Source organism: Homo sapiens, chromosome 20, assembly GCF_000001405.40.
Source record: "Homo sapiens chromosome 20, GRCh38.p14 Primary Assembly".
Taxonomy (NCBI): Eukaryota; Metazoa; Chordata; class Mammalia; order Primates; family Hominidae; genus Homo; species Homo sapiens.
Window position 1 is genome coordinate 22,226,502 of NC_000020.11, and position 18,615 is coordinate 22,245,116.

The 18,615-nt window shown below is 43.2% G+C and overlaps 2 annotated features.

Annotated features, from left to right (window-relative positions):
• Window positions 12,237-12,737: an enhancer, noted in NCBI's record as "H3K27ac hESC enhancer chr20:22219376-22219876 (GRCh37/hg19 assembly coordinates)". NCBI's record gives its function as "activates a minimal SCP1, AML or CMV promoter by ChIP-STARR-seq in primed H9 embryonic stem cells {active_cell/tissue: H9 hESC(primed)}" and the evidence as "EXISTENCE:reporter gene assay evidence [ECO:0000049][PMID:30033119]".
• Window positions 12,738-13,238: an enhancer, noted in NCBI's record as "H3K27ac hESC enhancer chr20:22219877-22220377 (GRCh37/hg19 assembly coordinates)". NCBI's record gives its function as "activates a minimal SCP1, AML or CMV promoter by ChIP-STARR-seq in primed H9 embryonic stem cells {active_cell/tissue: H9 hESC(primed)}" and the evidence as "EXISTENCE:reporter gene assay evidence [ECO:0000049][PMID:30033119]".

Genomic DNA, 18,615 nt, shown 5'->3' on the forward strand with positions numbered 1-18,615 from the left:
ATGTGTTGGAAGCAAGGTTTGTGACAGATCTTCCATGTTAAACCATTATGTTATCCTCCTTAGGAGAGAGTATGGTTTTATGAATATACTGCTCCAATTGGCTGAGATGACAATACTAGTTTTTAATCGGCGGCTGTGACATATTGAGGGCTTATATTAAGAATGCGAGCTGCTCCAAAATGTCCCTGTCCTGCAGTTGTACAATCACATATTTTTAAACCAAAGTAAATGATTTTACATTTATTTCTTTCTAACCGCACCATGTTTATTTCAGTGTCTCTTTCCTCAAATCCTTTTGCATATCAGTGGATGTTTAGAGTGAAAGGGGCAGGGATTTTAGAGCAAGACAAGCCTAGGTTCATGTCCCAGCATCACAGGTTAGGGATGTGTGATCTGGAACAGGTGACTTAACTCTTCTAAACTTTGGTTTCCTCGTTAGGAAAGGGAGGGTACTGGTGCATGGCTTTGTGGGAGTCTAAGAGGGTGGAAATGTGAAGCCCATTGCCATGTGCCTGCATGCGGGGCCTGCACCAGCTCAGTTCCGCATTCCTCGCCCCACGCATTAACTAGCTCTCTCTGCTGTGTTATCTGAGATTTGTACACTCTTGATTCTTATTCTGTAGTTTTGTTTTGAGTCATCCATCAAGTACTGCTCCCAGAGGTAAAAGGCTTTTCTGAAAACTGTCTCTTCCCTTACAGACTTTCCTTTATCCCAGGAATTGACTCACATATTTGGGATTGTAATTGTCTGGATTTGTAAGGGATATGAGTAACATTACCCTTCTGCAGCTTGGATTTTTTCTTTTGGTGGTGTTAATAGCATCACACTCTGTCTTAAGCCTCTTGGACATCTGAATAAATGTTGGCATGAAACCTGGTAAAATGAAGCATGAAGATGAATGTGTTTGTAGAGGTGAAGAAGACATTCAGAGCTGGGAGAAGTGAAAGTCTATGAATTCTCATTCCATGCCCAAAAGTGACCTCATTCCCAGAACAGTCAGCTGCCCTACTCGTCATGACTTTAAGACTCATGAAAATGTCTCATATGGGAAAGCTCCAAAGACTGCCCAGTATTTCTAAACTTTAACGGGATGTAATTATAACCCATGTATAAGGCCATAAATACTTTAGAAGTCTATCTCATTTGTACCAAATAATTTATCTGATTATAGTTACTCACTGTCACCTAGCTGAAGTCAGGATAGGTAAGCTTTGATGAAAGAAAAAAGTTATCCCAGGAGTAAGGCAATCAGCGAAAAAAAGAAGCATGGAAAAAAGTCCAAACATAGAAAACCAGGACAAGTCTGATTGTAAGATGGCACAGAGGGGCTTATCAGAGCACCCAGTGATGAAGAACCAGGGTAGGAAGAAGTTAGAAAGCACAGAGGGACAGAAGTATAGGCTGTAGGTGTGGGGAGGCTTTAGGCTAAGTACTTGTCTAGAAGGACTCAGGGAAGCATAAATTAATACAGAAAAACTTTGGAAACGTTTCTGGTGTCTACTTATGCTGATAATATGCATACTCTTTGACATAACAACTTCACTCCTGAGAATTGTGTATTTCTAGCAGAAATCTATACAAATGGTCACCAAAAGACATATACAAAAATGCTCCTAGCAGCACCACTTGTAATAGTTCTGTATTAGTTTGCTAGGGCTGCCATAACAAAGTACCATAGACCGGGAGGCTTAAACAACAGGCTAAAAGTCAGAGATCAAGGTGCCAGCAGCTTTGGGTCTGAAGGACACAGGCGCTGAGAGGGAGCGTCTCAGGTAAAGAAGAAGAGGGGAAGGTACGCCACTTGAGGATTCTCTGACCAAGAAGATGAGAAGATGGAGCAACTGGAAAGTATAGTTATTCTTTTGCTAACAAGAAACAAGAATAACAATTAAAAACTCCAGGACAAACAAACACACAAAAACTAAATGAAAATCATTCTCCAAATAGAAAGCAAATTAAAAAGTGGCATGATTTTAATCATAACTATGAACAAAGCAAGAAAATTAATTTTCATGTTAGTACAAAATAAAAGGTAAACACTAATGACTTTGATCATGTAGAATTAGAGCTGATAGAAATCCTTGGCAAAGGAGATGTGGAAAGGTGGAGGGAAGGACAGAAAATAGCCTTTTCTTGTGTGGGAGACATCTGTGTCAAGTTACTGATAAGTAATAAGGCATTAATTGACTAAAATTAAGGATAAAGTCATAGGAATATTTTTAAAGCCTTTCATGGTAAACAGAAGAAAAAGAATACTAAAAGTACTATAATTATTGAGCATTGTGAGGAAGAAGCAAGCAGAAAGAAGGCATTGAGATACCTCTCATAGTGAAAAACCAATGGATTTTTGTCTACCTTTGTTAAAATTCAAGAATTTAATGAGTCATTTGTTAAACTGCTGGAAGCTTGAGATTGGCCATGATGGGAATATTTACATCCCAGAAAGTGAAAAAACAAACAGATTAGAAAGCAACCATGTTAACTAAAAACAGTATTGAAAAGTGAGGCAGGGGCAGGGAGGAGTTAGCAGAAGGAGACTGCCTGTTCTTTTGTTGCTGAGTATGTATTTTTCTATACATACGTAAGTATTTATTACGTACTATTTATTTCTATTATGTATGTCATATTTATTATATTTATCATGCTCACATATATTTAAAACAAACACTTTAAAACGTCACAAATAACACCTAAAAATTGTTAATAAATATTTTTGAGAGCCTGCACCCTGTGTGCCATCATGGTAGCCAAACATGCTGAATACCTTCTCTGTCAGAGCCTACTTGACCAGTGGTGAATAAGACAGGTCATTGGCCAGTCACACCATAGTGTTATGGAGGGATGCGAGCACTAGGGGAGGCATCTATTCAAGGCATTGGAAATGAGGTGGGGCTCCAGGGTAGGGCATCAGAGTTAATGACAAATGGGTACTGGGGAGGCAACAGAAGTCTTTGTGAGTTAAGGGTGGGTGGGAGGAAGGGACACTCTTCTAGCAAAATGAAGCATATGCAAAGGTCTGGAGAAAAGAAAGGGAGTGGGGACCAGATCAGGAAGATAATAGTGTAAAGTGCTAGGGTGAGGTCGAGGCATCAGATCTTCAAGGAAAACAGGAGCTCTGGATATTTTAGAGCACTTGATGGGACAGATTGTCATAGAGAAAGACTCTGCCAAGTTATTTACACTCCTACATGCTGTGTCAGTGCTCATTTTTGAAAGTCATTTACTACCTCTGAAATTGGAATGCATTCTACAATTCTGGTCAACCAGGCAGTAGTAAAGATACAATCGTCATTCCTGAACATGCTCTGCAAAGTTGTAGATTAAATGTCTTTGGTTAGAAGAAAAATTGAAGACAAGAATGAAAGATTCTTTGAAGAACTGCTGTATTCCCAGTGTTCTCAGTGGCACAGGGGATGATACTGTGTGGAAAAACAAACCAACCAACCGCACAAGAACATTCACGTCTCTGTGTCAAAAAGTGATCCCGAAAAGTCAAACTCAGAAGGCAAACAGGTTTTCAAAAAGCATCGACCTATTTACTTAACTTATATTTACACTTGCCCATACATCAAAAAGTGATATATGTTAAAATCTATGCCTAAAAAATCTTTAAAAGCTCACTAATTATAAAAATTCTAAGGAATAAGAAATAATTGTATCAAATGTAATTGCTAACATTTTTCCTTTAGTGGCACATAAAATTATAATTCTTCTAATAATTGATGGCATTTTATAAATGCCCATAAAAATATGGTGCATATCTATATTCTCCTTTATAAAAATGGAATTATATTTCTCATAACCTGAATAAATATATTTGGACTCGAATCACATTAACAGCAGGCGTTGAAACAACAACAAAAATGTATCAGGCTAATCTCATTCGCAAGAACACTCAGTGGGAATACTTCATTCCGTGATTCTCCATGTTCTGTGTTGAGAGTTACTGCAAACGCTTTTCAGATGGTGGGAGTCGGAGGGAACTTGGCAAAGAGGCTGCCCCATGCAATCCACTCCCCATTTGTTCCTGACAGTGTGTATGGGAGAATGAAGGTTCTGTCCCACTTGTATGCTTTTTATTTGTGAAACAATCCTAGGTCTTTGTGTTCCTTTTACCTGATTCCCAAACTGAACAAACCCAAGTACCAACCATTCCCCTTGGATTTTTAGTCAACTGAAGGTTCAGAGAGCTGCTCCCTTGGGGAAGAGGCTGTGGACATGACATTTGCACATGCAGCATATCAACTTGGAATAATTTCCCCCTCATGTGGGGTCTACTCCCAAGGAGTTTATTCTAAACCCAAAGTACATTAGTTGCCTGTGGCACCTTAGAAAAATAAACTATCCTGGGGTCCCTGGTTTTGGAATGTCATTTCCTTTATGATATGTGTCTTTGAAAGGCAAGGAGTGGCAGTAAGCAGAGTGATATAAACATGGGGCCTGGGCTTTAATTCTGTCTGCCCTCATCCTTTATGAGGCGCATGATTTAGAGGGCCCAACTTAACTTCTCAGAGCTTTGATTTCTCCATTTCAAACTAGAGGAAAGAATGCTTCTTTTGCAGGCTAACACTGAGGATTAAATGAGGTCACACACATAAGGCATATTCCACAGTTCTTTATGCAGAAAGTGCCTCTAAAATGGTTCCTGCCATTTGACACTGGAAGCAAGAAAGCAAAGAGGCTGAGCAAAATACATGATCATGCACTCTTAGTGATGGGAAAAGACCTTTAAAAAGTTATCTAGTCCAATCTTCATTCTGCAAACCAGGAAAGTGCAATGCTGGCCTAGGCAAGGACTTTCATAAGGACAAAAGAGAATTCAGTGGCCAAGCTGGGTTGAGCACAGCCCTCATGCCTTTTGGCTTAAAGCTTTCTCCATTTGCTTTGCAGAACTTCCTATAAGTAATAGAACAACCACAGATGGAGTTTGACCAGCTGGATTTTTTTTTTAATATCACAGCCTGAGGAAATGTGGCTCAATCATTGAATGTTTCTGATGTGGACCAATTTCAGTCAAAGACAGTAAAAACAGAAAGCCTCAGCTTTCTTCTTATTTTAAATTAGAATTTTAAATGTAAAGCTTAGGTGAAGGAAGGATGGGAATTTGAATTTAAAAGGCTAAAAGAAAGAATACCAAAGAATTAGAAGATAAACATTTTGTCTTTCAAAGGGAAATAATTCTTCATTCTGTTTTACAGCCAACCATAACTGGTAAGATGAATGACGCTTTCTGTTAGTGTCATGCTTTTCAAGTCACATAAAAACCTGGTTTTGCATGAGAGGCGCTGCTGAAGCAGCCCTTGTCTGTGGCTGTGTCTCATTCTGCAACACATAGTGTCCCAATTTTCACTGGCTTCCTCTGGAACTGAAGCTGGGTGCACAGGTTTATCAACCGTCTGACTCTTACATACTAAACTCCCGCCTTCCCAGAGGGGAACACCTCTCATTCCCACAACTCCCCAACCCAGACCACCCCCAGCACGGGCTGGATCATTTTGACCTTGGACAAGGTGGAAAGAATGTCATTTCCAAGAGTTCCCTCGCTTGTCTTCCATCTCCATAAATGTTGCCATATCTAAATAATGCTTATACTTTTGTTCATTAGTTTTTACCATAACTATTTTTATTAGGTTCCTAAGTGATAAGATCAGGACAAAGACAGGTTCATTATGCTAGTTAGACATTTTCCTAAAGTATGATAAAATAAATGAAAAGGAAAACAATACCTGTTTATCTGAGATAGAAGAAGTGTTTACAAGTTGTTATGCTGCATTCTAGTTGTGCTAGGGGTTACAGGGATCTATACGTGTGTTTATGCTCACGGGATGTACACCAAAAAGAAGTCAATTTTACTGTATGTTAATTACAAAAAGAAAGCTATTAAATCTTCCTCAAATCCTAGAAAAATATAAGTACACATTATTTCCCACACAAACTCTTGTGAAGGGTTAACAAAACTCATCTGGCTTTATTTCATGCAAGACTTAGAAAGGCTAATAGTACGGAACTGCAGATCAAACCATAGCAAGTCGTGGAATGGAGGGCAACATCTTCAAGTCGGCCAGGGCAGTACAGGCAATGAGTGCAGCTGCTGGGGGGCGGTGGGGGGCGGGGGTAATGTGAGTCTGCAGGGCCCCAGGATGCCACAGCCCCGCCGGAGCAGTCCCTGGGGAAGCAGCGTTTCCTGTCCCTCGTGGCCTGTGAGGTCTCCCTCCTGTTCTCTCCCTGTGATCTGCTGGTATTTCTTTTTGAAGACTTAGGTTATGAAGTCTTGCTTTCAGAAACAGAAACAAAACAAAGCAAAAACAACTTGATAGCATTCAGCACAAGGTAAGGCAACTCCCCACTATGATGTTAAATTGGGTTTTTTTTTTTTTTTTTCAGCTACAAAACCAGAGTCATATATCTGATGGACTCAGGAATAAAAAGGAGTCTGGATTAAGAAGAGTAAAGATAGATTACTGATGCTGGCAAGACCCAGGCAGACTCATTCTGTGCACACTATCTGACTGTCCCATTTGCAGGGCCAGATGTTTTCTCTTTGTTACTATTTTTGCATGTGTCTAGGAAACATTTGGGTGGCACTCAACTCACAAGACCTGAACCTTGTAGCAGATGCTGCTTCCCCTGGGTGTACTCACTTCTACATGCTGAAGGGGGATGGCTGCTATGGCTTGAGTCTCTGCCTAGAGGCTTATTTCTAGGCCACAAGGCAATGACAAACAGAAAGTTTATAGAGAAATATCATTTTTTGTTTGTTTGTTTGAGATGGAGTTTCCCTCTTGTTGCCCAGGCTGGAGTGCAGTGGAGTGATCTTGGCTCACTGCAACCTCTGCCTCCCGGGTTCAAATGATTTTCCTGTCTCAGCCTCCCGAGTAGCTGAGATTTACAGGCACCCACCATCATGTCCAGCTAATTTTTGTATTTTTAGTAGAGATGGGGTTTTACAATGTTGGCCAGGCTGGTCTCGAACTCCTGACCTCAGGTGATCTACCTGCCTTGGCCTCCCAAAGTGTTGGGATTACAGCATGAGCCACTGAGCCCGGCCCTAGAAATATCACTCTTTAGTCTACATTGTCTCCCAAAGCTCCCCAGAGGAACTGAGCTTCCACTACCCACAGTGCTTGTTGGCAGACCTTTTGTAGCTTTCTGCCCTATCTCACAGGATCCTCTTTCCCTGATCAGAAATGTCTGGGGTTATCTTCCAACTAAACTTCTTGCTCTTGAATCTGGGCCTCAGGTTGTGTGTCTGGGGCAACCCAGGCCTAAGATAGCTATGCATACTAAGCACTCACCCACAGAAATACACACACATGCATATGCATGCACACATTCACTCACATATGGATACTTGCACACATGCAGACATATACACACAAGCACATATATGCTCTCCTGAACACAATATTCATGCTCTCTAATTCCCACGGGTCATGCTCCTGGCATTTGCTACAGAAAGGGCAGCACAAGTGCTGTGATCCCTCCCTCAAAATACTTGCATCTGGAATTTGGCTCCTTTTCTCCCTGCTTAAATGGTATAGTGCAGGTGATAACTGCGTAGATAAACCTTTATAGTTAGAAAGAGTCTAAATGTTGGTGTCTGTAAGCACAATAAGTAAATGAGTTTGGTTTTTCCTTCCAAAATAACTGAACGTTCACTTTAAATATAATGTTAGCCAGCTTTGAATCCAGAATATTTACATCTTGCAGACTGTGTCTTGCAGCCTCTGAATCAACTGACTGGGAGCATCCGTCTCTGCGTGCAGGGCTGCTGAAAGGTGGGAGCAGAGATAAAAGACAGGAGATGGGAAGAAACAAAGGGAGCCAAGAGATTTCATAGAATGCTGCAAGAGACATTCTTTTGATCTATTTGGACTCCTCCAAGGCGGGATCCAGAGAAAGAAGAGTGGCAGGTTGGAGACCACACCCCTAGATTAGCTCTCCTTTGAACTGGGATGGTGGAACTGCCATTCCTAATCAGAAACATGACCAGGAACGTTGGCTCGTACCTCCCAGATGTATTTGCCTGCTGGCATGATCAACCACATCAGAATTTTAAAAAGCTGTTGTACTTTGCATTGGCTTTTCCCTGTTTTAAACTGCTGAGCATTTATTGAAGGTTTACTATGTGCCAGGCAGTGGGATAAAGTCCTCTTAAGGGAGCCGATTCAAGTTACTCTCCCAAGGAGCTCTCCAGGAGAGCTGCTAAAATAGTTCAATTTATGAATGAGAAAGAAAGCAGATGCTTAAAAGGATTAAGTAATTTGGTCAAAGCCAACAGGAAGTGCCTGGTGGAGACAAGATTTGAACCCAGGTCTTTCTGAGTCTAGAGCTTCAAATTTAAATTACAATTCCAGCTGCCTCTTGAAAAGCAGCCCACTCCTTCTCCCTGTGCACCTTAGCAGCCCTGTGGAATGTACAGTCTCTAAAGAGCATGCCTGTTAAAAATGGCTACAGTGCTAATAGACGTGCTACATATGGGGTATAGACAAGACACATTTTCTGGAGCAGCTGCTATTGCTCAATATTGAAATGTCATTTTCATATTAAAGCAAGTGCACTGTGGCTGCTGCTCCTTGGACTCATATCTTTTGGTTCTAAGTTTGCCCTCTTTCCAGTGCATCATCTTGCTAGTAGGTAGTTCAGCCTCCTCTTCCTCCTTGCCCAGTCCTTCTTCCCTTCATAGTTCTTTCCCTATCCTCAACTCCAGTTTCACAAAGAACCTGTTCATGGTTACACAGCCCACAGGTGTCTTTCTATTATTTAGAAACATGCACCAGGACAAGGGCACAAAGTGAGTCTGCAGCCTCTGCTACCCAGGATAGGCTGCATCCTCCTGCGCAATGCCCACCATATGCTGGATGCTCTGCGGGCCATGGAAAACTCCAGCATTTAACATGGTGGGTGTGATACCCGACACAGAAATCACTATTAAACAACAAATGGCATTTGTGAATATTCAATTGCAATGTTGTAAGAAGGAACATGAAAGGCAAGATTTGGAAACAGGTTTGGTTTGGGCAACCTGGAAGGCTCCTGGAGGAAGTAACATTGAACAAGCCTCTCACGGTTTGGTTGGTGGAGGAGGCACCAACTGAAAACAGGGTTGTGGGTTCTAGTTCCGTGATTCCTAACCCTGGCTGTGCGTTTCAATCACTGGGTGGATTTTTAAAAACTGCCCAGGCCGCACCTGAGACCAATTATATTGAATCACTGGGGCGGGCTTGGATATTCCTACTTTAAAGCTCCCTGTGGACAGACAATGGACAGACACACCAGCAGGAGGCCATTCCAGTCCTCAGGTAGGACAGGTGCAGAAGTGACAGGAAAGCTGCAGGGAGTCCAAAAACATGGGGCAAATAGGAAGTGATAACAAATCAGAGCCTAGGATAGCTTGGATAACGAGTTGAGGGAGGATGGGTCAGGCACGACTCCTCAGCCTGAGTAACAGACATGATTTGGATTCTGTTTGCTAATTGATTTAGTTACATCCATTATGAAAATGGAGAGCTCTCAGCAAGAAGCTCACCTGGAACTACAGTAAACAGCACTGCTTGCTCTGGGCCCTCCTTTCTGCTCGGAGCGGGACTTGCCTGTAATTACCTCCAATGTGGAAAGAAAAAGAACTTTCACATCCTGACTCTAAAATTCTCTCTTCGCCCCGTGTGTCAGTACATAAACTTTAATTCAGACATTGGCAGTACTGTCAGCAGCTCATATGTCATCAGCGGAGGGCTCGGAGGCTCCGCGTGCCAGGGAGCAGGCGGCTTCTATTGCCTTCCTGGAGGTCGGGATCCCCCTGGTTTGCTGAAACCTCAAAGGCAAGTCTTTCTCGAGGGCGAGAACAGAACCTGAAAGACAGGACTTTGCCTCTGGTCTCTGTTCAGTGGCTGAGCAGTCTAGCCCAGGTGTCCCACTCCTAGTGGGACGCAGATGTCTCTTTGCACACCTGGGAAAGTGTGTAACCAAGACCACGTGAGGCCCGGGGCTGGATCTCTCAGGGACCCTGCTGACAGCCCACGAGCCCAGGGGGTCGACTTGGGAGAAACCACAGAATATTACCCTTGCTCTGCATGGATACAGGAGCTAACAACAAATAGAAGTGCAGATAGGAAAACTCCCTTCCCATCCTCCTTGGGCAGTAGCCTCTCCTAGCCTACCTCTCCCCATAAGCTATCTGCTGGTGTCTCCTGGGTTGCCTGAGGTAGCATTTAGAGGGGTTGGCAAATGCCACCATGAAGAGCACAAGCCCGTTCTCCATAGGAGCTGGCCTCTTAGGCCTGTTTTCTCCTATCTCTCGCTTTCGCTTTTTGAAATGTGATTCTCCCTGGTAGGGAAAGGCAAGAAAAACATCCAATGCTCATAAAAGTTAAAGTTCAGCACAAGCTGTTAATGAATTGAATTTGCTTCACACATACATTTATAAACTCAAAACAGACCTGGCATGTCCTTACTTAACTTGTCAATGGGCAATGGGATGGGAAGCCTGAACTCCAGATGGACATGCGTAGGCCATACAGGAGCTGAAGAAAGCATCCAACAAAACCATCTGAAAAGGTTTTTCAACATAAGATGGTATATAGCTAGTGGAAAATGATGCTGAATAAAAAAACAGAATTATTTTTAAGGTTTTGAAAAGTCTCTTAGATATGAAACAGCCTTGGTTTGGTGCTATATAGTTTATGAGCCTGAAAATGAAATTACAGGACATAAAATATAAAAAAAACTAATCAATATCACATAACCAGGAAGCTTGGAAATTTAAAGGACTTCTCTTGTGCTGACATTTGAGGCCACAAATACCAGAATACGGCATATGCAGAGGAAGTCGGTGTTCATATTATGCTCAGGTTACCTTGGCCAATGGGAGCATTTCTTCCATCAGCTCAATTGTGAGGCCTGGCATCCAAGACAAGTATTGATTTCTGCTCCTTTCCCTGCTCCTCCTCCTTCCCCTTCCTCTTTTTAATAGCAGGTAAGCTTACTGTTAAATGATCAATTCCTTCATCATGTGAAACTTGTGGATGCTTCCTAGTCTTAAACATGAACAGTAAATTATTAAGAGACATTATGTTCTCTGAAGACACCGACAGAAAAAAATTCTCCGTTTCCTTCATTACAGGAGATAGCTTGAACCTCTACCTATCTGTCCCTCTCCACACTCCTAGGTCTCAGGATAGCTTTTGTAGGTTGGGACTTTGGTGAAAAGGCTTGGCAGCAAATTTCAACTATCACAGTATGACCTTAGACACGTCGCTCCCTAAACCTCAGTTTTCTCAACTAAAAGTGGAGGTAGTTCTCTACTCAAATATTAAACCCTTAGAGACACCTAGCCTAGCCACTCCATCAGTAATAGCCTATCTCCCCTCTTTAAAAAAAAAAATTCTTTATCTCTTTTATGCTTACCATTGACTTCTTTCTTTCTTTTCTTTCTTTCCTTCTTTCTTTCTTTCTTCCTTTCTTTATTCTTTCTTCTGTCGCTCTTTCCCTTCCTTCCTTCCCTCCCTCTGTCCTTTCTTCCGTCCGTCCTTCCTTTCTTTTTTTCTTTCTTTCTTTCTTTCTTTCTTTCTTTCTTTCTTTCTTTCTTTCTTTCTTTCTTTCTCTCTCTCTCTCTTTCTCTCTCTCTCTCTCTTTCTTTCTTTCTCTCTCTTTCTCACTTTCTTTCTTTTTGAGATGGAGTTTCACTCTTGTTGCCCAGGCTGGAGTGCAATGGCATGATCTCTCAGCTCACTGCTACCTCTGCCTCCCAGGTTCAAGCAATTCTCCTGCCTCAGCATCTCAAGTAGCTGGGATTACAGCCATGCACCAGCACGGCCGGCTAATTTTTCACTTTTAGTAGAGACGGGGTTTCACCATATTGGTCAGGCTGGTCTCAAACTCCTGACCTCAGGTGATCCGCCTGCCTCAGCCTCCCAAAGTGCTGGGATTACAGGCATGAGCCAACGTGCCCAGCCATTATACTGTATTTTTGTTTGTTGATTTGTTAACAATAGAAGTTAAACCCTGTGAGTGTTGTGTTCTCACTCTTGGAACAAGGCCTGGCCCCAAATAGTCCTTAGTAAGAGCCAGCTTAATGAATGAATAGTAACTCAATCAATAACCATGTTTTGATGAAAGGAGGCCAGGATCACTGCAGGGGATGGTGACACATATGGGCAGAGAAGAGGAATCAAAGCTTACAATGGAGAAGTGAAAAGATTGGTCAAAGAGTTAGGAGCTAATCAGCTGAAAGTAGTGTCATGGAGCCGAGTGTCCATGGAGTCATGGACACTACTGAAGAAGGAGTTGTTGAGAGACCCCTGGCTTAAGAGGCATTATTCTGGCCCCTAGGTGTGCATCCAACATTGGTGAGTGTTTTTTTTTTTTTTTCTTCGAGTGCTTGTTAGGTAAAAAAAACGAAGTGCTGCGGAGAATGTAGCAAGAATGAATTCAAGGACTGTAGTCTCTGGGAAAAGTGGGGCAGGCATGGCTGACACCTATATCCTGCCAGCCCCCTCCCAGTCCACCTGCTCTGCCATCCACATTCCCAGTACATCAACAGCTGCCTACTGCAAATGGCTTCTTGTGTTCTCTGCCAGAGGGTTTTCTCTGACTTGCTCCTTCACAGACACAAGCGACTTGGCAGGTCAATGGCACTAACACCCCTGAAAACAACAGGTGGTGGATGGGAGTCACCGGGTCAAGGCCCCAGGCTCCCTGTCCTCTGGTGGGCAACCCTGAGATGAGTCTATGAGACTCCTCAGAGTTTCCTGGGCAGAAAGCAGCCAGCCCTGGTGCCCATGCTGTAATCTGCTCAGTCACACATGTGTCATGGGCCTTTCTCCCTGTTCTCTTTACCCTCCTTCCTCCCTCCCTCCCTCCTCTGCACTTCAATCCACTGCATTCCCCATCTCACCTCCCAGAAGAGGCCACCTACCCATGTTCTTGTCTTGGGCCTGCTTTCAGGAAGACCCGCACTAAACCGAAACTGATAGCCTAGGGTCCATGGCATTAAGTCAGGAGCACAGAATTAATGTTGCCCAAGATAAGGATTTCATATTTCTGGGGAGGATGAGATTACTCTGGCCCATAATGGTTCAATGGAGGAAAGATTTTTATGGCAGGCCCCTGAAGGATGAGTAGGATTTTCACAGTGGTATATGGTGAAGGTATATAGTGGTATATGATGAGACGAAAGGGGAAAATGTCAAAAAGGAGAGAAGATGAGGAAAAGAGGCCTTAGAGAACAGAAACTTGATATTGTGGTGAAGAAGTCAGTTGATATATAAAATTGAAGAAAATCCTGGAAATATTTGTTGGGGGTCTGATTGTAAAGGGTCTCCCAGCTTAGCTAAGATTTAGGAACTTGAACCCTGGGAAACTGGGAGCCATAGAGTTTTTGAACAGTGGTTTCACATGATAACAGAAGAGATTTAGCATTTGTTGGGGAGGGTGGGATCCTGGTAGACAAGAGAGTGAAGAATATATGTTAAGGTTCTGCATAGGGTGATCTCTCTGCAAACGCACAGAGGGTTAAACCTGAGGGTCTGTGGTGGGGACCACAATGCACCACCCAAGTCCCCCGTTACAGAAGGTCTTGTGGTCCTACCTGCTAAGAGGGCTGGGGCAGACACCCTTCAGCTCTCAGGAGTTTCAGGGTAGGGGAAGAGCTCAGAGAAACACCTCGCCCCAAACCATATCCTTTTCCAGTGGCTCATGTGTAATGACTGGTCACTCTGGGAGTATCAAGGGCTGGCCATCTCTGCCCAACTTGAGTCAACTAAGAAAGACCATGCTAGCCCATCACTGATGGCTTTATTGTCCAAGACTGACCCTGTGCAAGCCTCCCAGCTCCCATTCTCCCTCTGCCCACTGCTGCTTCCTTTCCCTCCTTCCATAGGCAATTGATGTGTTTTGTTTCAGATATGTTGAGTTTAGCTCTAAAAGCTCTAAAGAATCTGGGTGATTCAGTGTTCCCTAATGTAAAGACAATTGGTTTTACCCTATTTCTTCTTGCAACAGTTCTGCCTTCATGGCCACAGATCAAGGGACTGCAGCCTTCATCTGAGCCAATCAGAATCCTTCACTGGGATTTCCTAATTTGAGAGGAAGAGTCATTTTCTTTTCTCATACTGAAGTTGCTGATATAAGCTCCAGACTTCCTGGGGGCCATGTAGGTGGAATTCCAAGGTGCACCCTGTATGACCCTCTTTGCTCCCCAGTGTGAGTGAGACCTATGAATATGATGGGATGTTACTCCTGTGGTCAGGTTACATTACACAACACTCCACCTTGGCACACTGCAAAAAGAGAGGGACTCTTCTGTTATACTTAAAGAGACTGCCACATCAGAGAGAAAGCCACTGAGGGTGGCCTCCACTGGCCGAGAGTGGCCTCGGGCTGCAGCCAGCAAGAAAATGTTGGGTAAGTAACAGCTTCTCCATGTTGCTTGTCTTTGCATGCCTCAACCTTCCTTCTTGATTTTCTCAGCTGTGCACACACTTTAGTAGAGAGTCACATCATTAAATTCTCTTTGGTTAAAACTTTTAGAGTACAAGTAAATTTCCTACCAAAACCTGAAATGATCCAAAACTCATCACACATCCATGTGGGGTGAGCATGAATCTTTGTCCAGAAACTTGGGAATGAAAATCAAGTCCTGGAACTTAATTTTCTTTTTTTCAGTTAAATTAAATGTGACTCTGGGATGCCTGAGATTGGCTGGCAAGAAACCCAGTGAAAGCCATTGCTGGGATCTCTTTGCACCCCTCAGGTCTGTACAAAGATTGCAGAAATATCATGCTCAGCAAAATATTTGTAGGTCCCCTCTGTCTTCAGGTTACGGTGGTCACCTTTGTGATTCCTACTACCAGTGCACCTCTTGAAGTCTGGAGGTCCCGCCATGCTGAGAGCTTGGCCAGCTTGAGCCCTAGGGCCCAAGTCCAACCTTATGAGGTGCCCCCACAATCATGCTCTGTCTTCCAAAGGTCCTGTCATTCTCTGGTCCCAGGGGCCAACAAGGGAGTGAACAATAAGTCCTCGCCACTCTTAAAACCCTAGATGTCTTCCTGCTCTCAGTCTCAATTTAGATATCCAATTTTGACGCTGCCTCTGTGAGTTTCTCTTGAGTTAGGAAAGGTTAAGGGTTTGGACTGGTTCCTTGGTGAAGAGAAGAGGAGAAAATCCAGAAAGATCAAAACACAGAGGAGATTGAATATCAGGCTTGCAATGCCTGATGAAACTTAGACAACCCACAGTGTACTCTGTTACTTTTGGTAACTTCTGTGGAACCAGACAGTGTTCTCGCTTTCTTAGAAACAGGTATTGAAAGAGAACAATAGCTGCTGAACCCAGCAAACCCTCCATATGGCAGGGCACTGTGGGAATCCCCCAGCCTGCTTGGCAGAAAGAAACCTGGGAGAGTTCACAGACAAGCCACAAAGATTTTTTTCCCTGTCTTCAAGAAAGGGTCAATTCAAGATTTGATTTAAGGATCATTTAATGGCACCAACTGAAGATATGCTTATTTAACTTAATTCCATTTTTTGGAATACAGTTTATTTAATGTTCTTTCAAGCGGAAAAAATAAGAAACAAATAATATTTGAAAAGTAGACTTCTATTTTGAAAAGTTACATGATGGTTAAAAGTTTCTCCTCTTCATTCTAGGGACAGTAGAGAACAACCCAATTATAATAATAATTTTACTTAAATACCATTATGAAAAGATTTGACAGGAAATCACTATTAGGCTGCCATTACTGATAATTTTAATAATACTTAAAGAAAGCTGTGTGTATAATAAGCATTACACACGTATGCATTCAAAGGCTCTTTTATTCCATGTGGTCTATGCTGACTAGGTCAGCATAATTATGTGACTTGGTCTCCAGAGCTAAAGAAAAAATGCAGTTTAAAAAAGAATGCAGTTTCTCAAGAGAATGGTTAACAAATCCGTAAAAGACACGAAAAGGCAGAGAAGTTCCACACTAAATTTCCCACTCTGATTCTTAGCCTTTTGGAGGGGACAAGTCCTAGTTTCTGCCTTCATAGAAAGCAATGTGGGACCGCAGATGGGTGGCCACTGCACTTCCTTCTGGCCTCTGGCAGTGGGGTGGGGTGGAGGGGTAAAGAGCCAGGGGCATTTTTAATGTAATTTAGTCCACCTTGCCAGGGTATGAAAGAAAACTAACTTTAGCAGATCTAGCCATGTGACTTTGGACAAGTCACTGAACTCTCTGAGACTTCATTTTCCCCATCTTTAGCTCTAATTATCTGTGATTTGCATGATTCCACCTTTCAAAGAACATAGAGCACGGTTCAAAAACTTTGAAGTTAGATAAGCTGATTCAAATCCTAAAGCCAGCCCTTGAGTGCTGTGTGACCTTGGGTAAGTTATAGAACCTTTCTGGGCCTCGGTCTCTTTACCTTTTAAATGAGGCCAAGTGTGTACATGATGCTAATTAAGTGAGACAGTCCATGTGAAGGCTTAGCACAGTCTCTGGCATTCAATAAGAACACAGTGAGTGAGTTGTTTTTCTTCCTGTCATTTTAGGGGTTGTAGCAATAGTGTTTTTGATTGCAGTGGGTTGTTGACTGCCAAGTGAATGATTATACATGGACATGGAAGTTGAGATATGAAAAAAGCCACGTGGGTCAGAGTCTCATGGTCAGCTACCATGGCAATCCTGAAAAGCTCCTCTACCTGAATGGCCTGTCCTGCAATAACTCCCCTGGAGATACTGTTCCCTTTCTCAACCTTGGAACTCCACATATTCAACCAGTTGAGTCAACCCCCAATGGAGTGAGATCAGGCATCTTCAGTGACCTTAAAAAGCCAGCTTGACTCTCTAGCCAAGACTCAGAGGGCTGGAGCCAAATCAGAATGACTAAGATACAGAAAAGAATGCGTGGACGGAAAGCTGCAGTTGCAGCCTCGGAAGACACTGGTAGAAATGCTGTTCTGGAGAACGTGTGTGGATCTGGTGGGCTAGGCACCCCAGGCAGCCCCCTGGCCTGGGTGAAACACTCCTGCTTGCTCTCCCGTTTACCAAGGAAGCTTTGGGTAAGAGCGTACTTTACCTATCCACTAAAAAGGCAGAGGAAGGGAGGGTCTAGTGGTCTGACACGCATCTACTAGGTAGAAATGGGCAATGTCTCCCACATCCAAGCATCTTAGGGCCTTAGTAAGAGGGGGGTGATCTCTGAGGGCCTGGCCATGGGCTGCCCTTAAGACAAGTGGCTGGCCAGTTGGCCAAGTGGCCTTCCACTGGTGACATAACACCCTGGAAGTGTTCCCTCTGCCTTTGTTCCCTTTTAGTCAAGTAGTGGCACCCTTAATAGAGAGAACAACACTGTGGTGTGAACTGATTTGTCATATTTTTGACCAGGCCCTAAGGAAGGGGTCAGCGACACACTTAGGAGGAAAGGATGGGAATATTCACTCCTGGTGACAGTGAGATTTGGGGTCTGATGACGGATAGTTTCCCCCAACTTTTCTGCTCATCTAAAACAATAAAACCTCTGCCTAGGTTTTAATCATTGAAGGAAAGCTAATCTCTGACTTGTCCTGTTTTTTTTGTTTGTTTTTTGTTTTTGTTTTTTTTTTTAGATAGCGGTGTATTTATTGCATGTTTCTTACTGCCTTTGGAGGGATTACCTGTGCAGCTAAGCTCTGACTCCTTAGGAAAACTGAGCATCGAAAATAATAAGAGAAAACTGTAGGATATTGAATAACATGACAGAGGGAAGACTGCAGTGGTCTTTTCTATTAAAGTAAAGCAGGACTAGTATTCTACATTAATGTCCAAATTATGCAAAAACAATAATCAGTGCTCCGTGAATGATCAGCCTAAGGATTAGTTATGGTGCACAGGGGTTTTGATAGGGCATTAGGTTTCATTTCCGGACCAATGGATGAACATTTTAAGAAAGTGCTCTTTACTCTGTGTTAACCGCAAATAATAACAACGCTCCACTTTCATAAGGTGGATTTTAACTCTTGTGGTAATACTGGTGCTCTCGAAGTCAAATCATCACTGCCAAAGAGCTTCTCCAGTGCCCATTCTTTCCGGCACTGCCATGGTCTTCACGAGCTCTTTATGACATCCTGAGCCAAGGCCAAATCCCCTCCTGGGCGTGCACAGACCTGCCCCACCTCCTGCCCATGCCCTGTGCCGTCTCTTAAGCCTCCCACCCATGCCCCTTCCTGAAGTCACCCTGACTGCTCTGAGGTTCCCATGGCTCTTTCTTTGTCAGCTTTGCAGATGAGGGCACATCAGTGCCTTAAGGCCTTAAGATCCTTCAAGCACATGGACTATGACTTCGTGCCTCTCTTGTTCTTTCTGGTAACCAAAGGTACTTTGCCATGAAGAGAAAACACCTTGGTAACCAACGTGGCTCTTAATCACATCCTGCACTTTCTCTCTTTTTCTTTTCTTTCTTTTGTGTGTGTGTGTGTGTGTGTGTGTGTGTGTGTGTGTGTATTTAGTATTTCTCAGCCGCTGGCATTTAATCCACCCAGGGGGCACCTGTGCTTCTGTATCCACACAGGGTGCTGGAGACACCCTTAGGGTCAATCGACATGTCCCCTGTGTCCAGAACTGCCCCCAGACTGCAAGATGCATTTCCCTGGGA